This window comes from Homo sapiens, chromosome 3 (assembly GCF_000001405.40).
Source record: "Homo sapiens chromosome 3, GRCh38.p14 Primary Assembly".
Classification (NCBI taxonomy): Eukaryota; Metazoa; Chordata; class Mammalia; order Primates; family Hominidae; genus Homo; species Homo sapiens.
In genome coordinates, this window is record NC_000003.12 from 81,921,207 (window position 1) to 81,935,195 (window position 13,989).

Consider the following 13,989-nt stretch of genomic DNA (forward strand, 5'->3'; position numbering starts at 1 on the left):
CTTATTCAAATAAGAGAAAGGGAAGTTATTTATTGCACACAACTGAGAAGACTACTCAGGAAATACTTTGTATATAAATACAACAATACAATTACAAGTAAGCATAAATATGAGATATAAAGTAAAAGACTTGCTTCTTATACCCCCTAAGAACTATAAGCTCTTTCAAGCCTAGCACATAATCTTAGCTTTACTAAGTAGTTAATACTTTTTATGAGCTCAGCTAGTAGTTCTAAGAATGACTGGGCAGAAGTACCTAGAAAATAGAATAAAATGTAAAATACAATCTAGGAAGAGCCAGATGATATCAGCTGCTATTTTTCTTAATCCATTATATCAAGAAAAATTCTTTTAATGCTTTTTATAGGTGAGGATCTGGGTAGGCCACAGTAGTTGGCAGAATTTTAATATTGTATATGTAGTTAGGGTGGACACACAAGACTCCTTCCCTGACTACCTTCCAGCTAGGATTGGACTGGCCGTGTGACACAATTCTGACCAATGAGATGTAGGTGGAATTCTGTCAGGTTAGTTTTTGTTTTCCTGATAAAAATGGATAGACTAGGTTGGCATGTCCCTTAGCCCCTCCTTCTTGCCTATGATGTGGACATGATACTGAAGGTGCAGCAGTTATGCTATGAGGTGATAATCAAAAGGATGAGACAGATAATCTAAACACGGCAACCTGAGCATGACAGAGTGGAAGGCTCTGCTGAGTCCTTAATGACCACTGCACTGGCATTGGACTACTATCTCTGAACTTTTGTTTATGTGAGAAAAAAACTCACTAATTTATTTAAGCTACTCTTCGTCATTATTTCGTAACTACTCTGTGCTAAACATTTTAAAATTCTGGGTTGGGGAAATACTGCCGTATTCTTGTTTGCAAGAATTTTTAGTGTTGAAAGACACAGTGTGAACCCAAATATAATAAAACTATTCAAAAGCTAATGCTCTATTTTACATAGAAGAAATGCAATGGTGGCAACCAAATGTAAGATAGTGGTGCTACTTTGGCACTAGAATATACTTGGAATGCTGCTTTCACATTTGGATAACCTGCCAAAAGGATACTGAAAAATCAGAAAGCATCCAGAGGTGTGATCAGGGTTGGTGAGGGGCTTGAATAGCATTTCAAAATGAAAATAATTACTGCAAATTGGGAAAGTTAAGTGTTAAACAATGAAAACAGAAAAAAATAAAATTAAAAAAAAAACTTATAATTCCCAAATCCTTGAAATGGTTTCAAATAGAGGAAGTAAACTTCTTATAGTCTTCACTAAAGAGTAATATTAGGATCGATAAAAATAATGGGAAAGAAGATTTCTGCTAGATGATAAACAAATACTTCCTGAGAGTTATACCCTCTAACAAGGAATGTGCTGTGTCATCTTTTGAGATAAACACTCCACTGGATAAACCTTTGCTGTAGGAAGAGTGTGAATCTCATTGATTTTTGAAGATCAGGAATCCAAAGCATAAAAGTTCCTTGATAATATCTATGTAATGAATGAATGAATTCTATTCATTTATTTAAGCTCAAATATCATTAGGATCTAAATTTCTGTACAATCAGAATATATGCATACTAACTGTTAGTTTCCTACCTCCACTATCTAGTTACGTTGCCTCACGTGGATATATAAGATAAAGCATCCAGCCAAGTGAGGGAATAATGCATACTGACTACTCAGGAAGTAGCACTGCAGATGCCACACTCTTGGTAAGACTAGCCTTGGGGCTAAAGACAGTATAAGCTCAGAATGCTTAAAGCAAGTCTGGAAGACATCTTGTCTCTTAAAGTCCTACTCCCATATATCCATTATGGAGATTATGGCTCATGAAAGGGTATAAAAATGATTATTATTTTTTTCCCTCTAGTCTCTACTGGATGTGAAGCACAAGCTTCGGTTGCTGCATCTAGTCTCAGAAATTGATTCAAAGAGTTACTTACGCTTTCAGGACATAATCCTCTGAAACAGTTCTAGCATCAGTTTTTGCTATTGTGTGCTGTCTATTATTTGGGTTTCTGTCAAACAGACAAGATGTCATGTTTCTTTGCTTCAAATTGCTGCATATTATCTATCCCCTGGTGAACTTCTTTTCCACATGTTCATATTTAAGTAGGAATAGAGGTGAATACATAAAGTTGAATGCTTGAATTGTTTTTAAAAGGCCAATTCAGAATATTTTTAAAAGTATTTTAGTGTGTCAAATGTGAACTGACACACAGTATGTTGCTCACAGCAAGCTGAAAAATCTTTAGTATATGAACTTTTTATATGACTTAGTAACTAACAATTCAAAAATGTAAACCTGACTGTTTTATAATGAATGTTTTTGGAAACACATTTGCAATCTATTCTTTACCCAACAAGCTTGGAAATGAATGTCTTGGGCATTATCTTTTCTTCACTTGGCAAGCGTAGCTGCAGACAACATTTCCACTTGTCCAAAGAGTTTCTTTGTTGATATAACGTCCCTCAATTTTTAGTGAGGATTTTCTTTCTTTTTGGAAGAAACCCTAAAAGGGGTTTAAGCTGCTTTGTTACAGTGCTGGAGTTTATCATTAGTCCTCATTATCCATATATTTGTCAAGAATGTTGCTTACATAGGGGTAAATAATTTCATTTTATTCCAATATAGTTTTGACATTTATTTAAGAATAGCCAATTCTCAATTTCCCAGAGTAATGTAGAAAAGCCCAGTCACAGATTAGCCAAGAAATGTATTAGAATATGCAAAATATGTTATTTAGTAATTAACATATTCATCATTCAAGTAGAAACTAGCATTCTGCAGTTTTGTTCAGCTATAACTGGAAAGTGCTGAAATTTCAAGTATAGTTATAACAATCAGTGGTATAGATACAGCAAAATGTATTTTTAGTCAAAAGAATACAAAAGCAATGATAAACATAACCCAAAAATGCTTTAAAAAACAATTGCTATCTATCTACTTTTTTTGTTTGGTTTGCACACAGCTGCTGGTGGGTTTTCATGGGTGAGGAAGTGGGAGGACAGGTGGTATTACTATTATTGGGGCACTGACATGGTTGTCAGTGAGGGATGAGGGAAGAGGGAACCAGGAAATAAGACAGCTCCATAAGATAGGGATAGGGAAACAGAATGATCTGGCAGTGAATGAAAGCTATGGGAGAGAATAAGAAGGAAGAAAAGAAATTGAGAGTCACTGAGTACATACCAATGCCTACACAGTACTTGATGTTTTACAATTGTGACCTCATTTCATAGCAATATCAACTCTTTGAAGTAGGTAGTCCCTCCCCAATTTGTAGATAAGAAAATAAAAACTCAGAGAGATGAGGAAATCCACAGATTTACAAAGCCAAGTGGAAAATTAAGATTAGTTTTGATTCCTATGAGACACCTAAACAGATATGATAAGTAGACAATTAAGTGTATAGTTGGGAAATAGGGGGAGATGAAAAGGATGGAGGTAGAAATTTGGGAGATATCAGAGGAAAGATCATGATTATGTCATGTGTCTTGAGATCATCTAAGGTAGGAATAGAAATAGAGAGGAAACCATGAACTGTAGCTCTCTCAGCCTGGTTCCAAAGATGATTAAGCAATTCCACATAAACTCTAATATTATCTTGACCACTTGAGGATTTTTATTATGAATATGTGGAAGATTTCATTTTTCAATGCATCTACTCCTCCTCCCCTGTCTTTATTTTCCTATTAAAGAGAGAAGTACAGGCGGGGCACAGTGGCTCATGCCTGTAATCCCAGCACTTTGGGAGGCTGAGGCGGGTGGATTACCTGAAGTCAGGAGTTCGAGACCAGCCTGGCCAGTATGGTGAAACCCCGTCTCTACTAAAAATACAAAACATTAGCTGGGCATGGTGGTGGGTTACTGTAATCCCAGCTACTCAGGAGGCTGAGGCAGGATAATCGCTTGAACCCAGGAGGCAGAGGTTGCAGTGAGCCGAGATCATGTACTGCACTCCAGTCTGGGTGATAGAGACAGACCCCGTCTGAAAAAAAAAAAAACAAAAAAACAAAAAAAGACAGAAGTACAAAAAATTCCGTTCTAGCCCAGTCTGTGTCCAGAAGGTGTGAAGGTTCGTGGGGCTGGTGGTGGTGGGCATAGGACTCAGATTTAGTGTCAAAAACTTGTTTTCACTGTAACATATGTAGGAATTAAAATTATAAAGGCAAAATTAAGGGATAAACCAAAAGATGAAGGACAATAAAAGTGACACAAAACAAAGTGTTATGACCAATGCATAAATATGACCAAAGGAAAAAAAAAGACCCACTGGACAAAAATTGATGATAAATGAATAACACACTAGAACAAACATTTTCTAGCATGTTGCATGACTCTTAGTAAGACAAAGACAAATAAGGAGGTAAACCAGCTCTTCTCAGTATATATGAGATCATATTACAACATCTTCTAGCCTGGTCTCTCCACTTGATGAAACAAGTTGGAAAATCATGGAGGAAATAGAGAAAGCAAAAAAACTCTGTATCTTCTAAGGCAAGGATAAACAAATTATCATAATACCATCAGGAATAAGAATAATAAGAACATAATTTATAAGAATTTAATAATATATTTGAAAGGATAAATTAAGGAGGATAGTAAATAATTATTCTCCATATTATCAGGAAAATAGATTTACATTGCTTGAAGTCAGAGTCAGATTTAAAGAAAAAATACTTTCTAGCAGTAGCCATTAGTTGACAAAGTTGTGAGGCACAATTTTGGATAAGCAGGTCCTGAAATGTCCAAAAGTGATTAATTGAATAGAGTTAAATGTGTCTAATTTCCCTTGCCCTTGTCCATGTTCAGGTACCTGCATCCTTAGGCATTTCTCTTTTCCCAGATTCTTTATTTTGTGTCTAGTTTTTGCTCATATTGGCTGCCAATGAATTTTCTCCTAAGAAGTTGACTGCTAGGTTATTAGAGACAGGGATAGTGAATGGAAAGATTACTAGAACAGAAAACAGTGGTTGTGTTTCCAGTCCTGGTTCTTACTAATTTCCTGTGTGTTGGTTTTAACAATTATAAAATAAGGGAGCTTCATGGAATACTATGCAGCCATAAAAAACAGTGAGATCATAGCTTTTGTGGGAACATAGTTGGAGCTGGAGGCCATTATCCTTAGCAAACTAATGCAGAAATAGAAAACCAAATACCACATGTTCTCACTTTTAAGTGGGAGCTAAATGACTTGATTGACAAGTGCTATGTGATGTTAGTGATCCTGGAGAAAGTAAAATGCAGTCAACATTTGGCACAAGGGGTTTCAAGAACGCAATAGCCTATGTAGAAATGAGGGAAAGTGAGATGAGCAGAGAAATGTCCCAACTTGTTTAGGAAACAGCCAGGGTATGACCCTAGGATCCACCGGAGGTGAAAGAAGACAGGCAAAACTTCCGTCATGGGACAAGAGGACATAACTACTTTTTCTGTACAAAGAAGCTTGTCAGCTATGTAGGGAAGACTCTTATTTTAAGTGGAAGCTAGTGCTGAGACATTTTCAGTTTCCAAATATGTTAAAGGAGGTCTCCTTCTGAAGAAGAGAATGAGATGAGATTAAGTGGGGCTTCAGGAGAAAATGGGCTAGTAGTAAAGAGATGATGTCTTTTCAATGGTAGAAGAAAAGAAAAATGCTGGGGAAACTGAGATGTCCTTCTACAAGATTTGAGAGGAAAATAGTGTGCCCCAGCGAGGGTGCTCATGTTTGAGGCTTTCCATGCTGCTGATAACATGTAGACTGGAAGTGTGGTGTATGTCTTCTAAGCCTCAAAACTCATCGCCATTATGCTCTGTGGATTCTTCATGCTCAATGAGTGTTTAGAAGGTTAGAATTCCAGGACAATTTACTCTTATCTTATACCATGTTGATGGTATGCTGGTTTCTGAGTAGCAGATAGCCTTGTTATTCATTCAAGAACTAGTGAGTATCTATCACTTGTTAGATTCTCTGTTAGGTAAGTAAAATCAGATATGCCCATACTTTGAGGAAGTGTAGACTAGGAATAGAGGCACACATTAGTTTCATGTTTTAAAACTAAATGTACAATTACAAAGTGTTATAAGTGTCAAGGGACATAGTGTCATGAGAATCTTCTGACATTATCTGATAATGATTGACTGGCTGACTATTCAGGAACAGCCAGCTGTTGACTTGTAGCTGGCAGGCTATTCAGTAACTTCATTGGCTAGTTTTGTTCCTGGGCAATTTACCACATGTTGCTTCAGTTTCCTCTTTGGCAAAATGGGATAAATAAGATGATCTACTTCATAGGGTGTTAAAATGGTATCTAGCATATGCTAAACATTCAATGTATTTTAGCTATTGTTTCAGTTCATTGGGGCTGCTATGAAAAAATATCATCTACTGGGTAGTTCATAAGCAACAGAGATTTAATTCTCATAGTACTGGAGGCTGGGAAGTCCACGATCAAAATGGTGGCAGATTTGGTGTCTGGCGAGGGCCCACTTTTCTGGTTCGTATAAAACACCTGATTGCTGTGTCCTCACATAGTAGAAGAAGCCAGGAGATTCTCTCAGGCCTCTTTCATAAGAACCCTAATCCCATTCACGAGGGCACCACTCTTATAATTTACTGCCCCAAAGCCCTGTGAACTAATACCTTCACTTTGGGGGTTTAGACTTCAACATATGGATTTCGAAGGGACTTAAACATTCAGACCATAGCAGCTGTTATATTGTTATTATTATTTTAGTGAACCAGAGTCCTACTCCTTGCAGTTATTCTCTTAAGAAGATCCATTCTCTCATGCTTCTTTTGAGCATTTTCTTTGGTTTGCTGTCACATAAAAATCTGGAATAAAGAGCACAAAGATAGTGGAACTTGAAACATTAATTATATTGTGATTATTTCTTAGCATAATAAAAAAACAAGAGAATGATCCTTTTGTTATCTATTCTCATTCTCTCATTCATGCTTTCCTTCATCCATATATCAAACATTCCCTGAGAAAATAAAGCTAGGTGCTTGGGGGATGAAACGATAAATTAGCATCAATTCCTAATCTGTCTTTCAGTCTAGTAAGGCTGACAGACAAGTACAAAAACAGCTGCTGTGTAGTGAGAAAAGTTATATACTTGAGAACTGTACCAAGTACAGCTGAGGCACAGCGGACCACTTCTGCTCAAATCGAGGAAATAAGAGAAGGCAAATGACAGGCAAAAGAGAGAGCCCTCTTGTCCTTGTTCTTCACTTATACATGTAATTAAAGGACACAAACCTTCTCATTAGCATTTTCATCCACAGGATATATGCTAGAGAGAGCTATGAAGATTTCTAATGGTGCTTATTAATCATAATGCAATTTTATTCAGGAAATAAACATAACAATGGTCAGGCTTTCAGCTTATGATTGACTATAGCAATCATATATAGTGTTTTCTGGCAACTTTACATTATACCATTCATTCAGTTTACCCACATTTCTCTTCTGTCCCAGGTCTTATCAAAAGAGCTAATAATACTCTCATGACCTCGGTTGGTAGTTTTACACATTTCTCTTAAACTATCCCCTCTTGCTCCTTATTTTATTCTTATTTTCCCCTCTTACCCTTTATGGACAGTTTCACTGCTAGTCTTCCTATCCTTCTGTCCTTTCCATTTTAAAAACACTCCAGAATTATAAATTATAGGAATTGGAGGAAAAAAGAGCAAGAAATAGTGTGCTATAATAAAGTATGCTGGTGACAATTTTTAATGCACATTATAGGAGGGAAGACAAAGAAAGAAAAGTTGAACAGAGAAGCTTTTGATAGCAGAGCAAGAATGATTTAAGCAGTTTCTGATGCATATTTCCCTTTACATGTATTTTGTAAAATTTCTGCATGCTGAAGGTGAATTGACAATAGAAAGCTAATATTTGTCAGTTGATAAAGAAGAACTAGGTTTCACCAATGCAGATTTATTTCATAAGCAAATATTTTTGTATTTAAAAGGTGGTTGAGCAGAGCAATATAATGACTGCGTTTAAAAGTTTCATTACCTAGTGTGAAAGGATAGAAATACTTATTATTCAAAAAATGGGGAAGGAAAAGGTAACATAGAAAAGAAAGGGAAAAGTTTCTGAAGAAAAATATAGAGTTAAAAGCAATAAATTATGACGAGTAGTCTATGGTTTATTAGACTTGAATAGATGGGAAGGATGGCTATGTTAATATCTTTTATTTCAAGAGGGTGAATAAAATGAAAAGCAGACAAAAAATGATGGCAGGTGCCTTGCTATGCAATAAGAAGCTACTAAAACTACTGTAACTGCCTGTGGCAGAAATAAATACCTTTTCAAAAAATGTTTGCAGAAGAGGTGGCACAGCACTGTCTATTTGTTGAAAGAATCATGGAAAAAGACTTCTGGAAGAGATGACAATGCTTGGGGGAAAATGTATGAATCATCGATAGTTAAAAAACAATCAAATCAAAAAAAGAGAAAGAATGGAGATAAATGGAAAGGGAAAGAGAAAAAGGAAAATATACCTGCAGATGCAGAAAATCTTTAGGTTTTAAGCAAGTAATTTCCAGATGGATAAAAGATTATAAAAAAGGAAGCAACAAAGTCAGAAATTGTGGATAAATACTTATATCACAATGTTCTTGATTACCAGTTCAGCCCATAATCATTTCTTCCTGAGGCACTAGCTATGGACCAGCAAAAGCTGGCTCAGAGCCAGCATTGCTGCTTAATGAGTTTTGATACACAATTCATCTAGCATTTGGGGAAAATGTAAATATGGAAAGTGTAGGAAGACCTTATAAAGTGAAATAGTCATAGGAAATTCTTGGAAATTAAAAGAAAAAGGATTCTGCAAGGATGCACTTTAAAGTATCCCTTAGGAAATGGAAATGGGAGATTTAAGGAAAGGAGAGTTTTCCATAATTCCTTTCATCAGTTTTTGTTTGGATTTTTATAGGAATAAGTCATAATTTTTAAATTTAAAAATTAATAAAGATTTTTCAAAGCTAAAAATAGACTAAACTCTCATTTGCATATTGTTTAGTCAATAACTTTGTCAAGGCTATAGGACTAATTAGTTGGTCAGGTAATGAATAGTCCCCTATCCTGACTTTCTTTTGTAAAAAGAGATTGAAGACAGTTAAGCATGAGAATAAATCAGATAGGCCATAAATTTTCTCAAATTGCTACTATTTTTTTGTGAAGACAGGGTAGGACATTTGAGTTTTGCATTCTCCACTTCTCTTGCCTCCTTCCCAGTTACAACTTGCAGTTCTCTGTTAAAAATTTCGTGCAACACTTGTTGAAATGCAGCTAACCAGGATCTATTTACAGATCCTTTTTTTTTTTTTTTTTGAGATGGAGTCTGGCTCTGACTCCCAGCTTGGAGTGCAGTGGCCCGATCTCGGCTCACTGCAAGCTCCACCTCCCTGGTTCACGCTATTCTCCTGCCTCAGCCTTCCGAGTAGCTGGGACTACAGGCGCCCGCCACCACGCCCAGCTAATTTTTTGTATTTTTAGTAGAGACGGGGTTTCACCGTGTTGGCTAGGATGGTCTCCATCTCCTGACCTCGTGATCCGCCCACCTTGGCCTCCCAAAGTGCTGGGATTACACGCGTGAGCCACCGCACCAGGCTCAGATACTCTTTTTCTGTAACATGGAGTTGAGCCCACAGATCTACATTTTAAATAAATGTCCTTTAGGGCAGGCATTAACGAATTTTTTCTGTATAGGGCCAGATAATAGATATTTTAGGCTTTGTGTGTCAGAAGGACTCTATTTCAGCTCCTCAACTCTGTAGCTGTAGCACAAAAGCAGCTATAGATAACATAAAATGGGCATGGCTGTGTTCCAATAAAACTTTAAAAACAAAACAAAACAAATAGAGCCATCAGAGTAGATTTGGTCTATGGACAGTAGTTTTCCTACCCTTGCTATAGAAGATTCTTTTCAAATGGGCTTAGAAGATATTTTGAGGATGTGCAATTTTATATATAATAGTTTTGTTAAGTGCAACTCACAGGATTGTTTCTGAGCATGGAGATGTAAGAGGTGTCTTCTCTCCTTTCACAAGGATGGTTTTACATCAGGACCTGGAAAACTTAATTGCATGTGTAATCACGTAATTAAGGAGTTTAGTATACTAACTGTCAGCAATAAGCGATTACTACCATGGCCTGCTGTTTTGATGAAATGTCAATGGTGGAGTATTGCATGATTAAATGTCCCTGACAATGCTGATGATAATATGTCAGTGATAAGATGCTGTATGGAGAAATGTCCCTACAATAAAATGTTGCATAACAAGATTTCCCTATGATGAAATGGTCAACAGAATGTCACCAGAACAAATGAACGCAAATGAACACACACACACACACACCCAGAAATGACATGGCAGCTTTGCTGCCTAACTACTTTCAATATAATTTATATTGATAGAAAGGCTTTTTACTTTTAAAATCAGGGAGTTAGTACATCTAAATGCTGAAAAGTTTTTTTTTTTTTTTTTTTTTTTGGGACACTGCCGGTGGCCCCTTTCATCTCTGTGGCTTCGTATCCTGCAGAATGTGTTGTGGAGCAGGCGATCCTGGCATCTCTGAGTCAAGAGAGCTAGTTCAATCGCCTGCTTTGCGTTCCCCACCTCTCCCACCTCCTTCCCAGTTGGAACAGTAAGTTCTCTATGAAAGCTTCTGCAAATGATGACAAGAAGGAGAGTTCTCAGGGAAAGCAGCTGAGCTTTAATGCGAGTAAAATGGTTCCAAATGTAAAACACATTTGAAAATCTAAATGTGTGCCCCCAAAACCACATCAATAGAACCTTTAATGATCTTCAGAACCAGCCTTTTCTCTTCCTGTCGGTAGGAAGATTGTTTCAAATCTGTTTGTGCCTGAAGCACTTTTGATTGTGACAGTCTTCTCATTCATGGGCTAAACATGGCGTCCCACTGGAAGTGCCATCTAGGTTCACAGCAATACAGTATGATATGAAAGTATAAACAGAAGTCGGAAGTGCATTTCTCCTCTGAGATAACAAGTGAAACTAGATTTTCAGACCACCTATTATGCCATGAAAAATAAAAGAGAAAGAAAAATAAGACCTACTCTATGTCAGCTGCCTGGTTCATAGGAATGAAACATACCAGGTCAATGTGGAGCCCTTTAAGTGACTCCTGTATGTATGGGCAGAATATCGATCCTTGCTCTGGGACCGTCATTAAAATTTTTCACAAGATAAATGCAAAGATATTAACATCAGCCTGAACTTCTTTCTGCTTTTTTGTGGGTTGGCTGATCATAATTGATTAAAAAATGGATTGGTTCTTAACCTGGCTTCATTTTCCTCTTTTGCTTTGAGTTCCTGCCTAAAAATAAGGGCTCAGCCATAGCTAATGATTGGGCTCCCCAACATATACATTAAGACTTACAATTCTTATAACTCTGTTACTCATAGTAATGAGCTGACTGGATAAAATAACAGTAGTTTTCTTATAGATAGACATGCTCCACCCTCATTATAGAACTATTTTCAAAAGCCAAGGATATTGAAAGTTATAACAGTAATGTCAGCCCTTATGATTAAATCATGAGGCACATGAGTTTTTCGTTTAAATTTGATGTTCTCATGATCTCAATATTTTTCATGCAAATCTTGTTATTTCTGCATCCTTTCACACTCCAGCTTAAATTGCTTGTCAATCGCCGTGCTTTTCTTGAGTGCAGCACTTCTGAGATTCTCCAATACGATTTTATACATCTATTTATATCTACTTCTTTAGTATATTTTCCCTTAAAGAAGACATTGGTACAGCATTCCAAATCACATTTAATGAAGTCTTTTGAATTGGGAACAGTAACTTTGGAGGCCAAATGAGATGAGGCAAGAGGATTGGTTTGGCCAGAAGACAGGTGTGGGGAAGAACTGTAGGTTAAGACAGGAAGAAGCCATTTTATACTTTAATTTATAGAATTTTAAAAAACATTTTAACTAGAGTGCTTACATTAGGGTTGATTAGAGCAAGGGCAAAGCTGCAGTCTAGCAAAGGGAAACACCATAAATAGGAAGATCATTAAAAGGTTAGTTAACGAAAAAAGACATTTAAAAGCACCCTCACAAAATAACCCTTGAAATCTCACGTTGTTAAAGGGATTTCAGTTTTTCAGAATCTATAAGCCCACAATTTAAACTTTTCAAACCAAATGTTCTTTCTGTGTGTGTGTGTGTGTGTGTGTGTGTGTGTGTGTGTGTGAATACTACTTCTGATAATCATAATATTTTCAAATACCATCATCTGCTTTGACCTTGGAAATCTAAGGGAAAAAGACCAGAGACAAATATGCTTCAGTCATGTCACTCTCCTTTTCCCAAATTTTACTAGACTTGTACCATGAAGATCTACTATTGTACAAGCAAGTTTTAGTCCCCTGTCGCCCATCTGCCCCCAGCACTCCATCTTGTTCACTCATACAGAGTAACATTTCGCCATGTATCTTGTAAAATCAGCTACCGTGCTTGCACAGGGCTGGAATGTCCTTGGTATAACAAGACATGCAATAATGTGCACTCATGTAGTTGAAGACATTTCTAATTGATTATACATTTATTTGCCACACCACTGTTCTCCTGGGAATATTGCTTAAGAAAAAAGTGTTTGAATAATCACATACTGTTTTAGGGATTCCTGATGTTTGCTAATGAATACACTACAAAGCTTTATTTTTCAAATGTGCTCTCAAATGTGTAACCTACTTGCTTTTTCCATGCATTTTTATATTCCAGAGGATCCTCTAGTGACAGAACATTTTCAATCATTACTTCTCTTTGGTGGAATCAATTACCTCCTGATAGATTCTCTTTACAAGTTTAAAATTGCATTTAAAAACTCATCTCTTTCTGAATTCTAATTGGACATCCTTTGAACTCTACATTTTTTTACTGAATATTTGTTTATGAATCTTTCTATGATTTAAAGGGCTCCCTATCACATTTCTGGACTGACTGCAATATTTAACTTACAAAATGTGATTCCTTTGTGAAACTACATTATGAAACAAAGATTTTATTTACTCTCAAAGGAAAGAACAGAAGCATAATCTTGACAAAGTAAAAAAGTTGAGAAGTAATCATGTACTTAAAACATATATTATTCTGCCTATGTGATTTGTTTAAAGTCACATTTGAGGATATCAAAAATAGAATTCCCTATGACTATCTCCTCACATGCAGAATCATATATAGGAGGTCATTTATATTTTTTATGTACATAGTAGCCCATTAGCTTTACAATAGTCATTATTTATCAAATTCATCAATCTGCAATATAATCAAGAGGTGAGAAGGTTAGACATATATCTAAACAATTATACTATGTGCTAACATTGACTACTGTCATATTTAAACCACTTTATATTGTTATTTGATTTTTTTTCCAATAACCCAATTAGATGGAAAATTTTAGTCCCTTTTTCCAGATGAGGAATATAAAAAAATGAGTTAAAGTTACCTGTTTGAACTTACATAATTAACAGAAGAACTGAGGTTTAAACTTAGATACTACTCATTCCAAAGCTATTCTTATTTTTTTAAGCGGCACCCTATCTCTCAAAGTAGATGGTAAAAAGAGTCTTGATTTTAAACATGTGTAGTTTTACCCATAAAAGAATTTGGGGGCCCTATACTTAGAGCCACTTCTTTCATTTAAAAATAAATCTTACTGCTAGCTTAACTGATTTCTTTAGTCTGCATTACAAGAAACTGAATAGAAAATGGATAGAGGGAAGGCATTGATGTTAAATACAGATCTGGCAACTTCTCTTCTCTCAAGATCACATAGAAGACACACAGGCAATGGTCATAATGCAAGTTTTTATTCCCTCCTCCAGCACTTTGGAGAATTTAGTACTTTTACCAACACTGGCAAAATCCAACTGCAGAAACCAGACAGTAAAAAATCTAAACCCAGATCCGTCTGATTTTAGGCAAATGCGAGACCAATCTTTGAAGCC

At 36.2% G+C, this 13,989-nt stretch overlaps 1 long non-coding RNA gene across 1 annotated transcript in view; it reads left to right on the top strand.

Annotated features, from left to right (window-relative positions):
* Nucleotides 1-1,647: 1,647 nt before the first annotated feature.
* The window catches only part of LOC105377179 (uncharacterized), a 30,411-nt gene continuing 18,069 nt past the window's right edge, over nucleotides 1,648-13,989 (top strand). The window contains exon 1 of the long non-coding RNA XR_940999.2: nucleotides 1,648-1,723. This is a non-coding gene — a long non-coding RNA (uncharacterized LOC105377179). The remainder of the gene's footprint in view (nucleotides 1,724-13,989) is intronic.